Source organism: Homo sapiens, chromosome 15 (genome assembly GCF_000001405.40).
Source record: "Homo sapiens chromosome 15, GRCh38.p14 Primary Assembly".
Classification (NCBI taxonomy): Eukaryota; Metazoa; Chordata; class Mammalia; order Primates; family Hominidae; genus Homo; species Homo sapiens.
This window is the reverse complement of record NC_000015.10, coordinates 29,566,981-29,591,962: the sequence shown is the minus strand read 5'-3', so window position 1 is coordinate 29,591,962 and position 24,982 is coordinate 29,566,981. Positions and strand designations below refer to the sequence as shown.

Genomic DNA, 24,982 nt, shown 5'->3' with positions numbered 1-24,982 from the left:
CCATCCTTGGCATTGCTTGGCTTGAAGATACACACTTGGTTTGTAGAAACATCTGTGTTTTCTCTCTTCTTCTTCTTCTTCTTCTTCTTCTTCTTCTTCTTCTTCTTCTTCTTCTTCTTCTTCTTCTTCTCTTTTGAGATGGGGTCTCACTCTGTCACCTAGGCTGGAGTGCAATGGTGTGATCGATGCTTGAATTCCTGGGTTTCAAATGATCCTCCCACCTCAGCCTCCTGAGTAGCTGGGACTACAGGTGTGCACCACCATGCCTGGCTGTATTTTTTTATTTTTTGCAGAGATGGGGTCTCCCTCTCAAAGTGCTGGGATTGCAGGTGTGAACCACCGCACCCAGCCTTCTCTTTTTATGAGGATACCAGTCATTTTGGATTAGGGCTCACTGTAGTGACCTCATTTTAACCTGATTCTATCTGCAAAGATCCTATTTCAAAATAAAGACACATTCACAGTTACTGGAGATTTGGATTTCAACGTACCTTTTAGGAGACATAATTCAACCCATAACAGGTAGCAGGTAGGATGGGGGTCACTGCCCTACATATGGGGTCTGCTTATCCATGAAATAAGTCACTCCTTTTGGGGAAGAAGCAAGTGAGGAGTCGAGAAGCCCGAGCTGTGTGTTCTGATACTGCCCCTTCCAGGGCATGAAGACGGGAAATAAGTTTTCCCTTAACAATAATCTTCTAAAATTGAGTGAGTTCTTTAAAAGAAAATGCAAAACTAATTAGGCATTGATCTCAAGAAAATTAATTATTTAGAAGGAATTGATTTGCCACAGCATCTCCCAGAAGAGACAAGTTTTCTCAAATCTTTTGGTACATTACAGTGTTTTTTTAAATATTTCAGGAAAAAAAGGATGTTTTTAGATAGAAAGAAATGAGAAATTGTATTTAATAATGTTTGACAGAAGATTGGCAAAAGAACAACTGACAGCAATGTTTGAAGGTTTAATTAATGTGTAAGATGAATGCAGAAAGTATTAATAGCTACTAGTTTACACAGCAGTTTGTTAAACTTCTGAAGAGAATCACATTATAGATCCCCTGGGGCATTATTTGCATATTAACAGGAAGTTATGTTAGAACATTTATAAAGCACAGGCTTCTTATCAGTGTGTTTATGAATATTTGGCTCCCTTAAAAACCTTTTGTGTTGTGTCTTTAAACATACCATTATATCAATCATGTAAAATTTCCCTTCCTTCCCTCCTTCTCCCCTTCAAGTGTATTTTTTTTTCTTTTTCTTTTTTTTTTTTTTTTTTTTTGAGACGGAGTCTTGCTCTGTCGCCCAGGCTGGAGTACAGTGGCGCCATCTCTGCTCACTGCAACCTCTGCTTCCTGGGTTCAAGCAATTCTCCTGCCTCAGCCTCCTGAGTAGCTGGGACTACAGGTGCCTGCCACCACGCCTGGCTAATTTTTTGTATTTTTAGTAGAGACGGGGTTTCTCCATGTTGGTCAGGCTGGTCTCGAACTCCTGACCTCAGGTGATCTGCCCACCTCGGCCTCGCAAAGTGCTAGGATTACAGGCGTGAGCCACCGCGCCTGGCCTTGAACTCATACTTGTTGCTGCTGTTGTTTTCAGAACCTGTGACGTGAACTCTTACTTACAAATGCGCCAGGATGTGGATTGGATAAGGCAGAGCTCCTCTGAAGAGGCAGGCATGAGGGTCAGAGTGGCCGATATCTACTTCCTGACCCTAAGGTGGTCGCTGAACCTGGCCATGGAACCCCAGGCACCTCAGAAGGGACACAAGAGAACACTCAGGGAACCAGATGGCTCTGAGACCCCCTGAGGCCTTCTTCCCATTCCAACACCATATCTCTTCAAACCTCAGTGGCCCAGCTGCAAGGGCATTCAAAGGACAATAAGATCTTCTGATCATTTTTTGTGTTGGATAGGGCAGCATGATAATGTGACCCATTACTGTGGGTAATGACATAGAGAAAGAAATTCACTGGGAGTGAGCTGTGTGAGGATGCTGAAGACCTCTGAATGGTGAGAGTGCATTTCAAAGTTCACAAGTTGCTTTTTCACGCATCACCTCCCTCACAACAATCCCGTGTATAATCCCCACCTTCCGGATGAGGAAACGGATGCAGGAATATTGAGCAGCCTGTCCCAGGTTACAGAGCTGGAAGGAGTTGCCAGTGGAGGCCAGGTGTCTTGATTCCAAGCCTACTGTTTTTCCTACTGTCTGTATCACAGCTGCCTGCCTTGACTAATCTGACGCAGACAAAGTCTGGAAGGAATAGAGTTGACATCCGAATAGCTGTAAATCCGCAGCGGGGCAGGCAGTCTATGTTAGCATCTAAAAGGCTGCAGAGGTAGCGGAGGGAAAGCTGAATGCGGTGTTCATGGCCACAGTTTCCTTTCATTCTATAAAGAGTGTGCTTGTCAAGCACCATCTGGAAGATGATATGCAGCCCCTTCTCCGTGACGAATGAAGACACGCAGAGGCAGATTCCAGAACAGCATCTACATCTTTGTTCATTGATGTCAGACACAAAATTGAGTTGTTTAAAAACTTGCTCTCAAATACAGAACAAAAGTCATGGTGCAGGAAGGTCATATGGAACTTGGACGAGCCAAGAAGGCGAGGTTTTAATCTGAAATTGTAAACAAACATGCTCTGGTAGAGATTTTAAAAACCTTTTTATGGAAAGACAAAACAGACACAGAAATCCACCCAAATCAAGTGTGGAGCTGGATAAGTTATTGTGAGGTGAGTGGGCTTGTAATCACCCTCTCTGGTCAAGAAATTAAACTTTGCCAGCTGCCCCAGAATCTCCTCCACGTGCCTGGCCCCAATGACAATCCTCTTCCTTCTCTTTCAAAGTAGTCACTCTCTGATTTATAGTAATCACTTCCTTTCATTTCTGTATGGTTTTATCACTCAAGTAGCTATCCCTAGACACTGTAGTTTAGCCTTTTTTTTCTTTTTTCTTTTTTTTTTTTTCTGAGACAAGGTCTCGCTCTGTCACCCAGGCTGGAGTGCAGCGGCACAATCATGGGTCATGGCAGCCGCAACTTCCCAGGGCTCAAGTGATCCTCTCACTTCATCCTCCTGAGTAGCTGGGACTACAGGTGCGTCCCACCATGCCAGGCTAATTTTTTTGTATTTTTTGTAGAGACAGGGTTTCATTATGTTGCCCAGAACTCTAAGCTCAAGTGATCTGCCTGCCTCAGCCTCCCAAAGTGCTAGGATTACAGACATGAGTCACAGCCCCGGCCTATAGTTTAGTCTTGTCCATTAAAAATTTGTACTATGTCATCAAGTCTCTTTTAATGTACAGGTTTCCTCTTTCTCCTTCCTTCCTTCCTTCTGTCTTTCTGTCTTTTCTTTCCTTCCTTCCTTCCTCCCTCCCTCCCTCCCTTCTCCTTCTCTCTCTCTCTCTCTCTCTCTTTCTTTCTCTTCCTTCCTTCCTTCCTCCCTCCCTCCCTCTCTCTCTCTCTCTCTTGATCTCTCTTTCTTTTCTTTTTGATACAGAGTCTTGCTCTGCTGCCCAGGCTGGAATACAGTGGCACAATATCTGCTCACTACAACCCCGGCCTCCCAGGTTCAAGCGATTCTCCTGCCTCAGCCTCCTGGGTAGCTGGGATTACAGGCGCCCGCCACCCTCTATCCCTTTCTTTTCCCTGCAATTTACAGGCTGAAGTGCCGAGGACATTTGGAGTCTGGAGTTTGCCAAGTGTACCCTCTTGGTGCAGTTCAACATGATTACTCTGTCTTCTGAGTTTCCTGAAAATTGGTACCTGGAACTGGACTGAATTGGAGTCTGGCTTGATCCCCATTGCAGGATATAAATGGCTTGTTCTTTCATCAGGAGGCCTTCATGTCTTGTTTCAGTTCATGTCTTTTTTCAATGTTAGCCGCTGTCGATGCTCAGTGCCTGTATCTTTTAACTAATTGTGATTTGCAAAATGATGACATTTTAATTCAATATCTTTTTCAATTATTGTTTGCAGTATTATTACAAAAAGACACTTCCAGCCGGGCGTGGTGGCTCACACCTGTAATTCCAGCACTTTAGGAAGCTGAGGCAGGCAGATCACTTGAGATTAAGAATTTGAGACCAGCCTGGCCAACATGGTGAAACCCCGTTTCTACTAAAAATACAAAAATTAACCAGGCATGGTGGTGCATGCCTGTAGTCCCAGCTACTCGGGAGACTGAGGCCAGCAGATTGCTTGAACCAGGCGGCAGAGGTTGCAGTGAGCTGAGATCATACCACTGCTCTCCAGCCTGGGTGACAGAGCGAGACTGTCTCTCAAAAAATAAAAAAAGACACTTCCTCTCATCTACTAACTGGTTTCCCAATGATACACTTCATATAGGAAGGCAAGATAATTGTTTTCTAATTTGCCAGGTTTTAAGATAATGAGTTGTTTTCCTATCATCCTCTGAGGGCAACCAGTGAGTTTTAAAACATATGATTATAAACTTCTGAATTTAAACATATTTGGTAGGTTTGAATGCCTTACAATGAGTATTCTTATTGGCACTCAGAAAAAAATTGTTTTAATCTTTAGCAAATAAGAACATCTAAAGTGGGCTCCTGAACCCTTTTGTCATCGCTCTAGTATAACAGTCTTTCACAGCTCTTTTGCAGTCCTGTATGATCCCAAACTTCAGCTCAGCCATTTCTCTTATTGAGAAATGGTGTAATATTTCAGGACCATAGTTGGGGCCCTTGGGATGTTCATTGCTACTGGGTTGGTCATTGTTTCTAGATTTTTTCAGTGGACAGAGCTACGAAACACACACACACACACACACACACACACACACACACACACACACACACACACGGTTAGCTACACAGATAGCCTATCTCATGAACTCATATTCCCATTTCTAGTTCAAATTCAGGACTACAGAGTTCTGTATGTAACCTAGCCTGGGTATGTCTCCAACTCCTTTCCTCTACCTCGAGAATTTGGTTTTCAAGAACACAAGGGATGATAGAATATCCCATAATACCTCATTTGCTTAATCTTGTATTATGCTAAGTATCTCCCCATGCTAATACTAATACTACCAGAATCAATTGATTACTGCAAGTAGTTCCCAGTTTTACATATGTTTTCCCCATTCAACTCGTTTTTAAAAATAGCCAAATTACATCTATATTGTCAGAGCATATAATCAGAGCATACTATACTTTCTTTCTTTTTTCTTTTCTTCTTTTTTATTTTTTTGAGACAGTATCTTGCTCTGTTGCCCAGGCTGGAGTGCAGTGGTGCAATCTTGGCTCATTGCAACCTCCCCGTCCCGGGTTCAAGTGATTCTCGTGTCTCAGCCTCCTGAGTAGCTGGGTGTGCACCACCACGCCCAGCTAATTCTCCTGACCTAAAGGGATCCGCCCACCTTGGCCTCCCAAAGTGCTGGGATTACAGGTGTCAGCCTCTGTGGCCAGCCTATACTTTCTTTTTAACCCTCCATTGGTCTTTTAGAAAAATAACACCTTTACGAAATATAATTCACATACCATAAAATTCACTCTTTTAAAGTGTACGCAATTCATTGTTTTTTAGTATAGTCACAGAGTTCTGCAACCATCACCACTATCCAATTTTAGAACTTTTTTGTCACCTCAAAAAGAAACCTCTACCCATTAGTAGAGATTCCCATTCCTCCTCCTTCCAGCCCTGACAGCCATTAATCTATTTTCCTTCTCTCTGTGGATTTGCCTCTTCTGGGCATTTCATACCAATAGAATCGTGGCCTTTTGTGACTGGCTTTTTTCACTTAGCATAATATTTTCAAAATTCATCTGTGTTATAGCATGTATCAATAGTTAATTACTTTCTGTGGCTGAAAATACTGTCTAGTTGGGATATACCACATTTTGTCTGTTCATTCATCTGTTGAGGGATATATAGGTTGTTACCATTTTTGGCTATTATGAATCATAGTGCTGTCAATATTTGTATATTAGTTTTTGTGCGAAAATACATTTTCAGTTCTCTTGGGTATATACCTATGACTGGAATTGCTGAGTCATATGGTAAATCAAAGTTTAACATGTTGAGAAATTGCCAGACTGTTTTCCAAAGTGGTTGTGCCATTTTTTTTTTTTTTTTTTTTTTTTGAGACAGAGTCTCACTCTGTTGCCCAGGCTGGAGTGCAATGGCGGGATCTTGGCTCACTGCAAGTTCCGCCTTCTGGGTTCACGCCATTCTCCTGCCTCAGCCTCCCGAGTAGCTGGGATTACAGGCGCCCGCCACCGCGCCCGGCTAATTTTTTGTATTTTTAGTAGAGACGGGGTTTCCCCGTATTAGCCAGGATGGTCTCGATCTCCTGACCTCGTGATCTGCCGGCCTCGGCCTCCCAAAGTTCTGGAATTACAGGCGTGAGCCACCGCGCCCGGCCTGTGGTTGTGCCGTTTTATGTTCCACTGGCTGTATAAAGGCTCCACTTTCTCCATATCCTCACCCACACTTTCTCTCGTCCATAGTTTTGATTATGATCATCTTTTCATGTGTGTGTGAAGAGGTGTCTCACCATGGTTTTGATTTGCATTTCCCTAATGACTGATGATGTTGGGCATCTCTGCATGTGCTTATTGGCTATTTCTTTTTTTCGAGGGTTTCACGCAATTCAATATGATTTGAAAATGATCAGAGATAAATTTCAGTGAATCAATAATTTTGAAAATGGATGTGCTTCTCTGAAAAATTAGGAATGATGTTGAAACTCCTGTTTAAGTGTATATAGGGGTATAAAAGTATATAAGGATTTCCCAGTTAGCTTCAATCCTTGTTGTCTTATAAAGCACTCATTTTCATGTATTTTTCTGAGGTACATATTAGCTCTCTGATGTAATTAGGTGTATATAAGAGGAATGCAACATAATTTGTATTCATCTTTAACTTTACAATGAATGGAGAAACAACTAAATCATTCTATCCATCATCTATCTATCTATCTATCTATCTATCTATCTATCCATCGATCTTTGAGTTTACTGTTTATATTTTTCCAGCTTTATTGAAGTATAATTGACAAAATTGTATATATTTAAGATATGAAATGTGATGACTTGATATACATATACATTATGAAATTGTTTCCATGATTAAGTAAATTAATACATCCATCATCTCACATAATTACCATTCTTTGTGTATGTGAACACTGAAGATCTGTCTTAGCAAATTTCAAATACAAAATACAGTGTTATTAACAATAATCAGCATGCTGTACATTAGATTCTCAGAGCTTACTCATCTTATAAGTGAAAGTTTTTGCCCTTTGACCAACATCTCCCCATTTCCCCCACCCCAAAGTCCCTGGCAGCCACTATTCTACTCTGTTTCTGTGAGTTTAACTTTTTTAGATTCCACATGTAAGTGAGATCATACACTGTTTGTCCTTCTCTGCCTGGTTTATTTCATTTAGCATAATGTCTTCTGTGTTCATATATGTTGTTGCAAATGACAGGACTTCCTTCTTTTTTATGGCTGAATAATATTCCATTTCATACACACACACACACACACATGCACACACACATACATTTAAAAAATTCCTTCATCCATCAATGGATGATTAGGTTGATTCCATAACTTGACTATTGTGAATAATGCTGCAATGAAGATGAAGTGCAGATATCTCTTCAAGATATAGATTTTGTTTTCTTCAGCGGCCATTTCTTTCCTTTGTTGGAGAAACATCACTTCAGATCTTTTGCCCACTTTTTAATTGGGTTGTTTATTTCCTTACTGTTGAGCTGCAACAGTTTACAAATACATGTTTACTGTATTTGTAGGATAAATATATACATTTATTTTCTGATATTAGACCCTTAAGCGATACATGATTTGCAAACATTTTCTCCCTATCTGTGCATTGTCTTTTCATTTTCTTGATAGTGTCTTTTGAAAAAAGTTTTAATTTTGATGAAGTCCAATTTATCTATTTTTTTCTTTGGTTGCTTGTGATTTAGGTTTCATAGCTAAGAAACCACTTCCAATCCAGGGTCAAGTACATGTACACCTATATTTTCTTCAAAGAGTTTCACAGTTTTAGTTCTTACATTAGGCCTTTCATGGATTTTGAGTTAATTGTTGTATATGGTGTGAGGAAAGGGCCCTCATTTACTTTCAGTTCTAAAAGGAGCAATATATCAGTGCTCACCATCTATACTTAGGTCAATGTCTGTCTAGTTATTTTGGTTGTTTGAAGCACATTAACACAATTCTTCAGAAAGGGATTATGGGGAACAAGATTCCTTGAATTTTTGCACATTGATGATAGTTTATCTGCATCCTTACTTTTTAAAAAAATTATTATTATTAGTTTTTAAGTTCCAGGGTACATGTGTAGGATGTGCAGGTTTGTTACATAGGTAAATGTGTGCCATGGTGGTTTGCTGCACCTATCAACCCATCACCTAGGTATTAAGCCCAGCATGTATTAGCTCTTTTCTCTAATGCTCTCCCCCTCATTGCTCTCCCCTGACATGCCCCAGTAAGTGTTGTGCCCTCCCTGTGTCCATGTGTTCTCATTGTTCAGCTCCCACTCGTAAGTAAGAACATGCATGTTTGGTTTTCTGTTCTTGCATTAGTTTGCTGAGGATAATGGCTTCCAGCTTCATCCATGTCGCTGCAAAGAACATGATCTTGTTCCTTTTTATGGCTGCATAGTATTCCCTGGTGTATATGTACCACATTTTCTTTATTCAGTCTATCTGTGTCCTTTCTACTTGAAATTTAGTTTTACTGGATATAAAATCTTTGAGTAATATTTTCTTTACTTGATTTTCCTTAAAATGCTTTCATGTCATTTTTCTGGCATAATGAATTATTGTCCAATATTTTATTTCCCTTTTAAGTCACCTGGTCTTTTTGCCGTGATCCCCCAAAATATCTTCTTTTTCTTTAGAGCTCAGAAATTTTATTCCAATATATTTTGGTCATGATCATTCTGGTTTGATATTGTCTGGTACAGAGTATCCTCCTTTAATGTGCAATTTCAAATCTTTTTAAAAATTCAGGGCTGGGCACGGTGGCTCATGCCTGTAATCCCAGCACTTTGGGAGGCCAATGGGGCGGGTCATGAGGTCAGGAGTTCGAGACCAGCCTGACCAACATGGAGAAACCCCATCTCTACTAAAAATACAAAAATCAGCCAGGCGTGGTGGCGCCTGCCTGTAATCCCAGCTACTCAGGAGGCTGAGGCAGGAGAATCGCTTGAACCTGGGAGGCAGAGGTTGCAGTGAGCCAAGATTGTGCCACTGCACTCCAGGCTGAGCAACACAGTGAGACTTCATCTCAAAAAAAAATAATAAAATAAAATAAAATAAAATAAATTCAGGATTATTTTCTTGAGAGACAGTTCTTAATATTTGTTTTGTTCCCTTGCTTTGGTTTCCCTTTTCAGAAACTCCTTTCAGCCACATGTTGGATCTTCTTTAACACTCTTCAAATATGCCACTATCTAAAATCTTTTTTATCTTTTTAATTTCTTTATGATCTTAAAAATTTTCCTCCTTTTTGCTTTTTATTGCTCCTCAGGTTTTTATTTATTGTGTTTATTCACTCTTGTACTGCTTTTTGTTTAGTCTTTATTTCTGAAATTCTTTTTTCCTTTCATTTCTGTTTTACATGTAAGTCCGTCCATGATTCATTTTGAATACATTGTTGTATAAAGTGTGAGGTTTAAATAGAAGTTGTTATTTATTTGTTTTTGCTTACAGATGTCCATTTGCTCCAATACCATTTGTTGAAACAGTTATTTTCTTCCTGTATTGAATTGCTTTTGCACCTTTGTCAGAAATCAATTAGCCAGCCTGGCCAAGATGGTGAAACCCATCTCTACTAAAAATACAAAAAAATTAGCCGGGCATGGTGGTGCACGCCTATAATCCCAGCTACTTGGGAGGCTGAAGCATGAGAATCTCTTGAACCTGGGAGGCAGAGGTTGCAGTGAGCTGAGACCATGCCACTGCACTCCAGCTTGGGCAACAGAGCAAGCCTCTATCTAAAAAAAAAAAAAAAAAACCAGCATATTTTGGGGATCTATTTCTGGGTTCTCTATTCAGTTACATTGAACTGTGTGTCTATCCTTCTGCCAACACCACAATATATTGATTACTCTATCTCTGTAGTAAGCCTTAATATCAAGTAATTACTCCCACTTAATTCTTTTCCCGGATTATTTTAGCTATTCTAGAGCCTGTGCCTTTTTGCATACATTTAAAAATAAATGTACATATGTCTTTTAAAAAAAAAACCAACTTGCTGGGATTTTGATAGGAATTGCAGTAAACCTATCAGGAAATTTGGGGAGAATTTACATCTTTACTATGTTGACTCTTGCAATTCATGAATACACTATGCCTCTCCATTTGTTTAGGAGTTTTTTAAAAATTTCATCATTGTGGTGATTAATTTTGTGTCAACTTTGCTGGGCCACAGTACCCAGATATTTGGCCAAATATTATTTTGGGTATTTCTGTGAAGGTGTTTATGGATGAGATGGAAATTTAACCCAGTGGAATTTAAGTGAAGTAGATTCCCCTCCATAATGTGGGTGGCCCTCACTCATCTAATCAGTTGATCTATTTTGTGGTTATGTCTTTCTGGTATGCTCTCACTGTCTATAGGGATGTTATTGTATTTCTTATTGCCTTTTTTCAATATCCTTCTTAAGAATCAACGATACTTAATCCCTACAAGAAAAGAGTAGAAAAAGGATTTCTACATCCTTTCCATGTTAGGAGATGATTATAATCAAATCTGAAACCTCCTAGAAAGTTGTTTTTGTTTAGATCCCACACTTACATCACTAAATCATTTCTGAAATTTCATTACTTGGTCTGTTTATTCTAAAGATATTGAAATAATGATATAATTAGAAGACTAAAACTAATAAAGTCATTACAATAATGACTATTGAATTATAGGTAGTAATTAGCCCATAAGAAATATGAGGTCTGGTGCGAGGTCTTACTGATCTTTACATGGCTTAGGGTAATGTCTTGTATATTATTTCACTCAATAGATATTTATAGAATAGATGGCTTAAAAGGGGGAGCATTTTAAATACTTTCTTAATTTTAAGACATCAATATACAAATATTTACTATAGCTTTTATTCTAATAAGGTGTTATTCTGTACACTGTGGGAAATTCAAATAAATACCCATTGTGAAGTCTCTTCTCAGTTATTATACCATATTTGAGGAAACAGCCTAACCTCTTTGCCTTATGCTGACTTAGAAGATGGGTGCCAGGTACCAAGCCACCTTTGCTGAATATCTGTATTCTGCTCTTAGTCTACCAATGGTGTTAGATCTCACCTTTCCTCCTATTTTGGTTCAGTCTTGCATTTGAGGTTCTAATATAACTTCATCTTCTGGATGCAGACCCTGTAGGCCTAACTTTCCCTTTGGTCTTTTCCAGCATAATCTGTTCTGCCGCTATAGGCCAGGGAAAGCTAGACCTAACGGGAATATGTTCAAATAGAAGTACTGACACAATAATAGAAAAATAACTGGCACTTAGTGTTTGCTATATGCCAGGTACTGCTCTAAGAACTCTAGATAAATGAAATCATTTAATCCTCACAAGAAATTTATAAGATAGGTATTATTATTACCTTCATTAGGAAGTGGAGTTGGGGTTTTTACTAAGGCAGTGTGACACTAACATGGGTGCCCTAACCATTCTGCTGCCCTGACTTTTAGATGTGAGAGAAGACCTAAGAGAGGGATAGAATTTGCAAAGGTGATGAAGAAAGTCATTCTCAGCAGGAGTGACCCATTACTGTCCAGAAGCTTAGAAACCAAAGGCCAGGCTAGGCGTGGTGACTCATGCCTTTAATCCCCGCATTTTGGGAGGCTGAGATGGGCCGACTGCCTGAGCTCAGGAGTTTAGAGACCAGCCTTGGCAACATGGAAAAACCCTGTCTCTCCTAAAAATAGAAAAAATTGGCCGGGCGCGGTGGCTCACACCTGTAATCCCAGCACTTTGGGAGGCCGAGACAGGTGGATCTTGAGGTCAGGAGATTGAGACCATCCTGGCTAACACGGTGAAACTCTGTCTGTACTAAAAATACAAAAAATTAGCCAGGTGTGGTGGCGGACATCTGTAGGCCCAGCTACTCGGGAGGCTGAGGCAGGAGAATGGCGTGAACCCGGAACGTGGACCTTGCAGTGAGCCGAGATCGCGCCACTGCACTCCAGCCTGGGCGACAGAGTGAGACTCCGTCTCAAAAAAAAAAAAAAAAAAAAAAAAAAAAAAAAAAAAAAAAAATTAGCTGGGTGTGGTGGCAGGTGCGTGTAGTCCCAGCTACTCTGGAGGCTGAGGCAGGAGAATCACTTGAATCCAGGAGGTGGAGATGGCAGTGAGCTGAGATCGCGCCACTGCACTCCAGCCTGAGGGACAGAGCGAGACTCCATCTCAAAAAAAAAAAAAAAAAGAAAGAAACCAAAGGCCAGTATTTTGCTGGAGCAGAGGATTAGAGAAACATGTTGGAGAGAGTGAAGAGAGAAATGGATTTTGCTGAATGGTCCAGGTTACCACTGAACATATAGCTTGCTTGCATGAAAAAAGCCAACATATGCCATAAGAATTACGTCTCAGCAATTTGCTGCTGCTGCTCTTGCTGTTGCTATAAAAATGTGGGCCAATCACATAATCGACACCAAAAATGAGTGCATCCTAATGCTTATTTCTCTAAGCAACTTTCCATTTATCCACAAGCAAAGTGTTTTACTTTTGCTTCTTAATAAAATAAAAGTGAAGGAGTTCTGATTGAAGGTGACCCATACTTTAGAGCCAAATGATAAATTTTACTCCATTATTTTCTGTTCAGTTGATGGATGAGAATTATCAAATCTCATGAGGCTTGACTCATAATTTTCATAGTTTTTCCCTAAAGGCAAAACACCTCTTTCATGTATAAGTTTGTTTGAGTCTGAGCATATGAATAACTGCTTATTCTAATGAAACCATTAGAATGCATAGGTTTCTAATAACCTGATTTAATAGTGCTAGTTGAGTTAACTGGAACTCACTTCTTAGCCTTATTACCCTCCTTCAATAATTAAGTCATTTACTTCTCAGGGGTTTTTCACAAAATTCTAGTCAATACTATCCCAGAAGTGTTAAAAACTTCAATTTTAACATAGTTTAAGATACAGAATTAGCTTGAATAAATAGTAATTGAATACCACTATCTGCTAGGACTGTGCTAAGTGCATTAGGATACTGCAAACGTGAATGATTCCTGTCCGTAAGGAACTTACTGCTAACGGAATAAGGCCAGCATTCATAAAGTGCGTAATGTTTGAAAAAATACTTTTCTGTATTCATGATCTAACTTAAATCTCATCACAAAACCTATGAAGTAATAAGTATTTCAAGGCCTGTCAAATTAGATTTCTTCTCTCCCTGCACTTAGTTGACCTTTAATTATTTTGGTAGCAATGAGACAGACATTTTAAACCTAACGAACAAAGACAAGTCAAAATTCTATATGTGCCTGATTCTCCATCAGTGTCCAGGGAGTCCAGCTTGCTTCCAGCCCTCCAATGATAATCACCTGAACAAACATGCTCCAGGACACTGGTGCACACATATCTTTTCCAGTCACTGCTTTCACTTCCTTTGGGTATATACCTAGGAGTGGAACTACTGGGTCATGTGGAAATACTACGTTTATTTTTGAGGAACAGCCAGACTGTTTTCCACGTTGGCTGCAGCATTTTACGTTCATTCCAGCAACCTACAAGTGTTTCAATTTCTCCACATCCTCTCCAACACTTGTTATTTTCATTTTTTTTATTATAGCCATCCTCGTGGATTTGAGAATTTCATTGTTTTTTTCTTATTGTGGTAAAATATACATAATATAAAATTTACCATTTTAACAAATTTAAGTGTGCAATTCTGTGGCATTAAGCACATTCCCATAGTTGTGCAAGTAGCACCACCAACCATCTCCAGGAACTCTTCATCTTCTGCAATTGAAACTGTACCCACCAAACACTAACTCCCCATTCCCACCACCCCTCTGCCCCTAGCAACTACCACCCTGCTTTCTGTCATTATGAATTTGACTACTCTAGGTACTTCATAAGGTGGATCTGAACAATATTTATCCTTTTGTGACTGCCTTATTTCACTTAGCCTAATGTTCATGGTTTGTTCATGTTGTAGCATGTGTCAAAATTTCCTTCCTTATAAAGGCTGAATAAGATTCCAATGTATGTACAGACCACATTTTGTTTATCCATTCATCCAAGGATGGACACTTGGTTTGCTTCCACCTTTGGAATAATGATGCTATGAACATGGGTATTATGCCTGTAATCCCAGCACTTCAGGAGGCCAAGACAGGTGGATTGCTTGAGCTCAGGAGTTTGAGACCAACTGGGGCAACACGGCAAAACCCCATCTCTACAAAAAATACAAAAATTAGTCAGGCACGGTGGTGCGCACCTGTAGTCCAAGCTACCTGAGAGGCTGAGGTGAGAGGATTGCCTGAGTCTGGGAGGTCCAGGCTGCAATGAGCCGTCTTTGTGCCACTGCACTCCAGCCTGGGTGACAGAGTAACACCCTATCACACGTGTTCCCTTTCTCTCTCTCACACACACACACACACACACACACACACACACACACCTCTTTGAGTCCCTGCTTTCAATTCATTTGGGTATTTATCCAGAAGTAGAATTTGTTTGATTTTTTTGAGGGGTCACCATGCCATTTTCCACAGTGGCTGCACCATTTTACATTCCCACCAGAAATGCACAAGGGTTCTAATTTCTCCATATCTTGACCAACACTTGCTCCTTTCTTTCTTTCTTTTTTTTTTTAAATAATATAGCTGGCCAGGTCTGGTGGCTCACACCTGTAATCCCAGCACTTTGGGAGGCTGAGGTGGGCAGATCATGAGGTCAGGAGATCGAGACCATCCTGGCTAACACGGTGAAACCCCATCTCCATTAAAAATACAAAAAAATTAGCGGGTGCGGTGGCGGGCGCCTGTAGTCCCAGCTACTCGGGAGGCTGAGGCAGGAGAATGGTGTGAACCTGGGAGGCGGAGCTTGCAGTGAGCCGAGATCACGCCACTGCACTCCAGCCTGGGTGACAGAGCGAGACTCCGTCTCAAAAACAAAAACAAAAACAAGTTAATAATATAGCTATCCTGATGGGTGTGAAGTGGCATCACATTATGGTTTTAATTTGCATTTCCCCAATGATGAGTGATGAGCATCTTTTCAGGTGTTCACAGGACACTCGTTTATCTTCTTAGGAGAAATGTCTATTCAAGTCATTTTCCCACTTTTAAATTGGGTTGTCATTTTGTTTTGAGTAGTTCTATCCATAATCTGAATACATGGCATATATCTCTGGTCAAGATAAATGCTTTGCATATATTTCTTTCCATGTTATAGTTTGTCTTTTCACTTTCTTGACAATGTGCTTTGATGTACAAAAGTGTTTAACTTTGATGAAGTATAATTTGTTTATTTTTTCTTTCATTGCTCATACTTCTCTTGTCATATCTAAGAATCTACAGCCAGAGCCAAGGTCACGGTTTATGCCTATGTTTTCTTCTAAGACTTCCATAGTTTTTGCTCTTTTATTTAGGTCCATTTTGAGTTAACTTTTGATTATGATATGAGCTTGGAGTCCAACTTCTTTCTTTTGTAAGTACAAGTCCAGTTGTCCCAGCACCATCTGTTGAAGAGACTATTCTTTCTCCCATTGAATGAACTTGGCACCCTTGTTAAAGATCAGTTGTCCTTAGATGTATGGATTTATTTATGGACCCTCAATTATATTCCAATGGTCTAGATGTCTACTCTTATGCCAGTACCATGCTGTTTAGATTACTATACCTTTGTGGTAAGTTTTGAAATCTAGAAGTATGAGTCTTTCAACTTTGTTCTTTTTCAAGACCCTTTGGCTATCTGGGGACCCTTGGAATTCCATATGATTTTGAAGATTGGCTTTTCCATTTCTGCAAAAAGGGCTGTTGGAGTTTTGATAGGGATTGCTTTGAATCTGTAGAGAATTTGGGGTGTTGTCATCTTAATATTGTCTTTCTATGCATGAACATAGCAAGTCTTTTCATTTATTTAGGTATTTAATTTATTTGAGCAATGTTTTCAGTGTACAAGCCTTCACTTCCTTGGTTAAATTTATTCCCAGGTATTTCATTCTTTTAGATATTATTATAATTGTCTTATTGTTTTCCTTTTCAGATTATTCATTATTGGTGTATAGAAACACAACTAACTTCTATGTGTTGATCTTGTACCTGGTAACTTTGCTGAATTTGTTTATTAGTTCTAGTAGCTTTCTTGTGAATTCTTTGAGATTTTCTATATATCAAATCATGTCACCTGCAAATAGAGATAGTTTTGCTTCTTCCTTTACAATTTGGATGTCCTTTATTTCCTTTTCTTGTCTAATTGTTCTGGCTGAACTTCCAATAAAATATTGAACAGTGGTGGTGAATGTGGACATTCACCACATGTCAAATTCCTGATCTTGGGAAGAAGCTTTCAGTCTCTCACCATTGATTATGATGTTAGTGGTGGGTCTTTCATAAATGTCCTTTATCGTGTTGAGGAAGTTAAGGGAAAGTGAGTTTTAAAAATTCTATTCATAGAAATAATTGGAGGCCTAGAATGATAATATCTTTCTTTAGAGAGAATTTTCTATTGTTTTGCCAGCTCCTAGGGGCTTGTGCAATGCAGAATTGGGGTTTCTGGGCACCTGCAAAAAGAGGGAAGTTTGACTTATTTCCTGCTCCAGGGATGCAGCCATTTGGGGTTCTGTCACAAGGCAGGGGACTGGTTTACTGGGTCCCCACCTTTGGAGACTCCTGAACTCAAATTCATCTTTCTGATTCTGTGTGCAGCTGCCAGAGCTAGAAAGGCAGCCCACGTGCTGCACACACCTCTCCGCATTCCTTCTCCTATTGCATCTAGGCTTGGTGTTCCCTCATTATCTCCATAATCTTTGATACTTTTAAGGAGATACTTAAAAAAAGTCCCCCTGGTTTCTAAGTTGTCTTTAGTAGGAGAAGTAGCTGGTCTGACATTCCTAGAAGTAGAGTTTCTCCCCTATTACTCTTCCATAGGCAGAAATTGTGAGATCCAAGCACAACTCTCTACTGCGTAAGAGAGGCTACCAAGGGTCTAGATTCTTTCTCATCCATTATGTATGGACAGGTACAGGTCAAAAAGAGCAGGAATCTGAAACAAGCATGTGGTGACTGAGGCATTTGTAAGTGTTCCTTGTCTCCCCATGGTGCAAGCAGCCCTGAAACCTGTCTTTCAGCAAGAAGCTCAGCCACCTTGTCATGCTTTGCTTAAGAACAATGGTCTTGGCCGGGTGTGGTGGCTCACATCTGTAATTCCCAGTACTTCGGGAGGCCAAGGTGGGTGGATCACAAAGTCAAGCGATCTAGACCATCCTGGCCAACATGGTGAAACCTTGTCTCTACTAAAAATACAAAAATGAGCTGGGCATGGGGGCGTGCGCCTGTAGTCCCAGCTACTCAGGAGGCTGAGGCACGAGAATCGCTTGAACTCAGGAGGTGGAGGTTGCAGTGAGCTGAGATCATGCCACTGCACTCCAGCCTGATGACAGACTGAGACTCTGTCTTTAAAAAAACAAAAACAAAGAAACAAAACCCAAAAGAACAATGGTTTTGTCTATTAGTCCCATCTGATCCAGGGAGAATAAAAGCCATAACTTGGTTCCAGGGGTCTCCAAGAATCTTCTGTAACACTAGGACATGTATGATTATAATGCTTTTACAAGAGACAAACACTGAAGATCAAAGAGAGTCAATGAGTTGTCGTGATCAGTGCCAGGGAGGCTAAGCTCAGGCCAGCACCCTCTCTCCCTACCTTTCTCCTTCCCTTCTTTCTGTTCTTTTCCTCCCTTCCCTTTCATTCTTCTTTCCTTTCTTTCTTTATGATTCACTCCCATGAAATCAACTCACTTTAACTACTTTTATCTCCCTATTTATATCTCCAAATTGCAAGTGTTCATCAAGGTAACTTTGGCTGTTGCATTTAATACAACAGGATTAAAAAATTCTGTAAAACATAGTATGAAATAAAAATTTTTGGAGGCCATTGATTTGGACAGAGCTCCCACCAACAGACCAAATTAAAATGGAGTCAGTCATGCTAAAGTCCTAATCCACCAAGCTGAAACTCGGTTGTTTAGCTGACTTTATGAGAAATCAGGAGAAGGAGAGGAAGAGGGGTGGGGGAAAGACAGACACAGAGAGAAAGAGAGAGAGAGAGAGGGAGAGAGAGAGGGGGGGAGAGAGAGAGAAGAGAGAGAGAGAAAGAAGAGAGAGAATAGACAAATATCCAGAAAGGCCAGTTTGAGCAGACATGATAAGGAAGTTCCGTTTTAACCATTATGGGGAAAGTAACTTTGAAACAACTAATCTGCTTTTTGTTCCTCATTTCTACTTTCTTCAATCTTTTTCTGTCTATACATACTCACTGCCCACATGGCAGAGTGGAGTTCTCTGAACCTCTTATGATTCTGAGGGCTGCCTTATTCATGAATTGTTCATTGTTTAAGTAAACTCTGTTAAATTTATTTGTCTAAAGTTTTCATTTTATCAACAAAACTGCTTTTTCATTGATAGAAATGTGAAGTAAGTTTAATTTCTAGATCAGTCTCTCCCTTTGGATGCAAACGAAATTTTACAGCGAAAGTAGATCCCTCTCCTAACCCACCTTCACCAAAATCTCCTGCTGTATTGCTTGGAGCTCTCTTTCCGTACCTTTCTTAAATAAATAAATAAAACAAATCAATTCACATATATTTTGGAAGCATCTCTCATTCATAAATGGGAGATCACTGGAGGTCACCAACTGGCTCCCCCTTCTGTTTAATTCATCACTGACACCTCCGAAACATCTCCCAAACACACCCAATTCTCGACATCTCCACTAACCCCACTTTAATCCAAAACACTATCACCTCTTGCCAGCTGACAGTAACAGCCTCTGAACACTCTTTCACTTGGGCACCCCTCAACCCATTTTTGGTATTGTGGTCAGAAAACTCTTTTCAAATCTCCTTATCATCTGATTCCTTTTTTTTGGTGGGGGTGGGGTTGGGGGGGCACTGTGTAGTCTCCATAACACTGAACCCAGTGTGCCGCCAGTCTTCCCACTAGACCGAAAGTTCTCTGAGTACAGGGGGCTTGCAACTCATTCTTCGATCTTCAGTGCCTGGCACATAGTGGGTGTATACTATTTTTTGAATAGTATACAATGTCAATAAACTGTAATTCACTAATTTGTTAGGCTATTGTGTGTTTCTCTCTGAATCCCTTAAAGGCAGGGATTTTTGTCTGTTTTGTTCACTGATGTACCCTAAGAACGTAAAAAAAAAAAAAGCCTTATGATTAGAGAGCTCTTTATGAACTTTTGTTGGAGGAATGAATGAACGGATGAATGAATGAATGAATGAATGGGGGAGATGATCAAATGCGAACATAACTTCCTGCCAGTCCAGGGTCATGCCTTGTATTGTTTCAAGCTCTTAAAAAGTGCTGCACTGCGAACTTCTAGGCAGAAAATGTCTCCAGGAAATTGGAATTTGTACTGGAGTGCTTTAAACAATGCCGGCCAGAGGCTTAGTCCTGTTAAAGATAAGAACTGGGGGAGAAGGCAGCGTTTGGCCACGGGCCAGCATTTTGAGATCAGTCACTCTATCTGTGGAATTCCCTACCCCCTGTTCATCCCTTGGCCATCTCGTTAAATTGGAAAATAAATCCCATCCCTGCTAAAGTGTTGGCTGATAAAGGCTTGAGCTATAGCCCCTTCAAGGGGAATTTGCATTTTAATAGAGGATCGTCAAGCCCCAAAGGAATCAATATCTCTAACGGTGAAATTTCAAGCACCAGCAACCGAGATATTTTGGGACTACACTCTCTAGCGTTTCTCATCCAACAGTAAGGTCTGCTAGAAAGACACGGAAGAATGGTCTCAGGAAATGACCGGCCGTTTCCCTTTATTACTCTGAACTTTGCCTTTTCACGTCTGGTCCCTTCAGACTCCCTAACGCTGGTGATCTCTTAATCTGTCAATGCAGCCCTTTTCAACACAAGCAGAGTCTTAAAGTTGGCTCATCAACAGGGCCACAAAGGAATTATGGCAATCAAAACTTGCAGGATTTCCCGGTATTCCAAGGGAGCCAGTACTTAGATATTTTAAACTCTATGTTGGCAAGAGGGAGTGGAGATGGTTTAATCGGTTATTAATGATATTGCGCATTTAAATTCGTTTTGTGCAATTTTTTTTTAAAGCCCAAACTTTTAACTTGTATCAAAAGCATGCAAACCAAAGGTGGGTAAGGGACATCGTGTGTGTCCTGGCAATGTTCTCGGAATGTCCTCCAGAGCTGAGTTCTCTCAGCGGATGGCTTGGGAGATTCTCGAACTGCAGAAAAGCAGCATCTTGGATCTTGGATTTTTGCATTCAAGAGGCTCCTGTTCGCCACACCTGCGGCCCAGCGCTCGGAATTTCCCTCCTGTCTGCTCCCAGCCCGTCTCCCCGTCCTCAGCGCCCCGCGCGCCCATCCCGAGCCGTCCCCAGGCTCTGAAGGCTCGGCTGGCCCGCTGCCGCTATCGGGCCCCTCCGCGCAGCCGACCCAGGGCTCCGCCGCGGAGGCTGATGCCGTTGCCCTTGATGCGCTGCCGCCCCCGCTCTCCTTCCGCAGACCTGCAGCCGCCAGGGCGCGAGGCGTGAGCGCGGAGGCTGGGACGCCAGGACCGCACCTGCGCCTTCCCCGCCCCTCTCCCGGCTCCCGGGTCCCGGCTCCCGCTCCCGCCCCAGCTGGGGCCCAGCGCACGGCGGCGGGGCTCGCGCCCGGGGACGGCAGCGGCTCGCGCCCGGTACGGCAGCAGCGGCGGCGGCTCGCGCCCGCGCTCGGGCCGGGGAGCGCGCGGGGCGGGCGGGGGAGGGCGCAGCGCGGCGCGGCCGGCGGGCGGGCGGCGCGGCGGCGGCGGCATGGGCGCGGGCACCGGCGGGGGCTGCGGGCGCCCGGCTCCCCGCCCGGCCCGGCCCGCTCCCGGCGCGCGGCCGCCGCAGCCCTGGCAGCCGGCTGGGAGGCCGTCCCTGCACCCGGCGCAACTTGCCTCGGACCCTCTGTGAGGAGAGGCGGCGGCGCGCGCCGGGCCGGGCGGGAGCGGGCGAGGCGTGCGGGCGCCCGGCGCGATGCCTCCGGCCGGCGGCCCCCGAGCGCCGCGTCCCGCCGCGCTGCCCCGCAGCCTGTCCCGCCTGCGCGAGTGCCCGGGCCGCTCCCGCATCGTGCTGGCGCTCGGGGCCACGCAGATGGCGCTCGGATGCCTCATCGTGGCAGTCAGCTTCGCCGCGCTGGCGCTCACCACCTCGGCCCGCGTCCGCCACTCCTGCCCCTTCTGGGCAGGCTTCTCGGTGAGTGTCCGCGACCAGGCGGGGACGGGCTCCGGGGACTGCGCGGGCCGGGGGGGCTAGGCGCTGCGGCCGCCGGGACGCCACCGCGGGCGGCAAGTTCCGGCGGCCAACGCCGGGGCCGAGTAGCTGCAGCGCGGGGCGCAGTTCGAAACTCCGAGCAGAATAACTCCAGGGCCCGGCTCGCCGCTCTCGGAGCATCGCGTTCCCGCTCCTATTGCGCTGATTCCCGGAGTTACTTTTCTTGGAGGAAACAGCAGCCAGGCGCCCGCCGTCCTCCGAGCCCGCAGCGGCCGGAGGGAGCGCCGGGGACCGCGCGCGCCGGGGACACGACCTCGCCATCCGAGCGGCCGCGGCCGAGGCGAGGAGGTGGGAGCCGAACCCGGAGCGGAGCAGCATGTGGGCGCGCCTCTCACCCTCGCGGCGGCCCTGACCGGGGGCGGTGGGGGTGGGGGGTGGGGTGGGGGGGCGGGGGAGGGGCGCCTCCCGTCGGGTTTTGGGTCAGCCCGGATATCGGGGATCGGCCGGGCGGCCCCTGTGGTCGCTCGCTGACTTGGCTTCGGGGACTTCTGGTTTCCCGCGTCCGCCCAGAACGGCGTGGTTTGTGGGCGACGGGACTGGGCAGGCGACCCGCATCCGGCGTCCTGGGGCAGGGGGCAGGCAAGGGGGGGCGGCGTGCTTTCTGAGCTCCAGACCTTAAGGATGACCGATTTTCAGACTCTTAACCACCAAATCAGAGAAGCCAGTGGTGAACAAATCTCCATAGAAGAAAGACGTCTCGATTAAAGTGACTGTCCCCAAGAGTTAATTTTTGGCGTTTTGTAGCATTTTGATGAAAGTCGGTTTTTTTCCTATATTAACAAAGAATGGACGTTATGGGAATGGGAGAGATATATATGCAGAGCAGATATTTATGAAGAGAGGCACTTGTTCTGAGAACTCTTGACATCTGTAACTGCATTTGGTGGATCGTGCTGAAATACATCGCATAGGCTTGTAAACTCAGTATGTTTTACTTCCATCTACAGAAATCCAAACCAATCCTTTAAAACTAATGTTTGCTATTTGTTCTTGAGTTTTAAAATTTGAAAAATTCGTCCAGCTTTGCTTATTTGTTTATTTCATAATGGTCTTTGTTTTTTAAGTTCATTGCATGGCTTTTACCATAAGATCTGAGCAAAATTGCCTCTGGAACACCTCGATCGATACAGGTGTGGTTGTTCATCCTAATGGGAGTATTAATTTTCGAAGCGTATTTTAGATCAAGGGTGAGCCTTGGAGAGCTGAATAGGAACAACAGACTGTGTGGTCATAGCTGGGAGTATTCAAAGAAAAGAGAGGAGGTTGGAGGCAAGCACACGGGAGCCATGATTTAAATGCCCCTCTCTATATAGTTTTCACACATCTATTGCTCAGTTTTTACCATTATTTAATATGCATTGTTTTCATGTCTGTCTAGCGGGCACTGAGGTTTAAGTCTGCTGGAACCAGCCTACAGGTGGCAGACTGGTGAATTAGCTCCACTTCCTGGCTCCTCCCTGAGCCCGCCCTTCCTGGTTTAGCCTTGGGTTCCCAAGGGTGTGGAGAGAGAACTGCCTTTTAATAATAAACCTAAAGGGGAAAACATTAATTGGACACAGTAGAAAAGCTTATTTATGTGAAAAATGCACATCATCCCCTACATTTTAGTTTAAAGAGTTAAATAAATGTGTAAAACAGTTAATTCAGTTTGCTTTTGCAGTGTTATTCTCTTCAACAGCTCTAACCTATTCTTTTTTTTTTTTTTTTTTTTTTTTTGCCTTAAGAGGCAGGATCTCGCTCTTTTGCCCAGGCTGGAGTGCAGTGACACTATCATAGCTCACGGCAGCCTGGAACTGCTGGGCTGAAGCGATCCTCCTGCCTCTGCCTTGCAAGTAGCTAGGACTACAGGTGTGTACCACCATGCCTGGCTAATACTAAAAACATTTTTTTTTTAAGAGATGGGGTCTCGTTATGTTGCCCAGGCTGGATTCAAACTCAAACTCCTTATCTCAAGGGATGCTCCTGCCTCAGCCTCCCAAAGCACTGAGATTACAAGCTTGAGCCACTGTGCCCGACCTATAACCTGTTAGTTCTAGCTTCCTATGATTCTGAGCAATTCCACACAGTTCTCCTATGTATGGACATTACTCTAGGGTCTGGGGATCAACAATGAACACAGCACACTCTGCTTACATTTTGGAGATTATAAGATGACTTCTGTCCTGAGTCCTCCATCTCCCACCCTCCTGTCTGTTTTTTCATGGGCTTATTTTCTGTCTTCAAACTTACTTTGCTGCAAGCACCTTGAAAGTTCTTTCAGTACGGTACAGTGTATACCATTTTTCATCTGTTGTCTACAACACTTTGCAGAAATGATGATTGGTTCCTGCTGTGTTGAGACAGGTTTGCATGTTAACATGGTTGTGAGTGGGGAACACTGACCCATTGCCATATATATGCCTGCCCTCTGAGATTGGTGCAACTGCCTTGCCAAGGTTGTTCGTCATTTAAGAATGGCAGCTGGGATGGCTGGGCTGGCTTCATAAAGAAATCCATACTGTGGGGCTTAGGGCTGCCCTCTGGTTTCTCTAAATCTTCTAAAATGAGACCTATGTGCTCTTTAGCAACATATGGCTTTCTAGGCCCTCTCTGTGGTTTGCACATGGTGAAAACCCATTGTAGAAACAACTCTCCTGGATTTAAGAAACAAAATTATTAGCTAAGACAGACAGCCCATGCTTAGTGAGCACTTACTTATTGTGTGTGTAATAGCCTGTTACTCTGGTGGCCTCTGCCTGCTGGTGCTCAGGGTTTTGTGTGGTTCCCTCTCCCTGAGTTTGGACTGGGCCTCTGATTTGCCTTAGCCATTGGAACACAGCAGAACTGAGCCTGACTCTGTTCCAAGCCAAAGCCTCAAGAAATCTTGGTGCTTCTGCTGAGTAAACTAAGGGGAAGAGGGATGAGTGACTTACCCAAGGTCACTCAGCTATGAAGTAGCTTTGAACTTAGTTGCTCTGACTTTTTAGAGGCCAAACTCCTGCTAACGATTAGGCAGAAGGGGATGAAATAAAGCATGCTGGTAAAGGGGTCCACTTTAGCAAGGAGGCTCTCTCTTTCTTAGGAAAAGCATAAAACATGCCTGGAAAGGTGAAGATACAAGAGAAATTTAAGGAGCCATTCCACTGGACCAAGTTGAAGAAGTTTAAGGTTGAAAGGGGAGGACTCGGCAAGGTTGGAGACAGGGGTGGGTGTCAGGCCTGGCCGGAGGTCTGTGATGAATACAGAGCTGTGCAGTTTCCATTGTTTGAGGACCCCCTGCAGGTGGTTTTCCTGTGCCGGGCTGTGCCAGCCAGTGAGTCAGCAGGTGGATCAGTTCCCTTGTGGATAGATGTCCTGCCCATTTTGAGAGGTAATGAGCTGTGTTCATAGTTTAGAAGACTAAGAGAGCTGGATGGAGGTCTTGAATAGTTATCCTTTAATAGAGTAGTTTGTTATTTTTCTTGGAG

The 24,982-nt window shown here is 43.1% G+C and overlaps 1 protein-coding gene across 7 annotated transcripts in view; it reads left to right on the top strand.

The window, feature by feature from the left end:
* Nucleotides 1–24,982, top strand: part of ENTREP2 (endosomal transmembrane epsin interactor 2) — a 557,698-nt gene that overhangs the window by 83,447 nt on the left and 449,269 nt on the right. For 4 of the 7 annotated variants that reach the window (XM_047432323.1, NM_001387214.1, NM_015307.2 and 1 more), the window contains exon 1: nucleotides 20,984–21,458. The exons of the other annotated variants lie outside the window; for them this stretch is intronic. In XM_047432323.1, coding sequence (XP_047288279.1) covers nucleotides 21,240–21,458 — 219 coding nt within the window. In that variant the 5' untranslated portion in view covers nucleotides 20,984–21,239. Of the gene's footprint in view, nucleotides 1–20,983; nucleotides 21,459–24,982 lie in introns of those variants that run through there. 7 annotated transcript variants of the gene reach the window in all.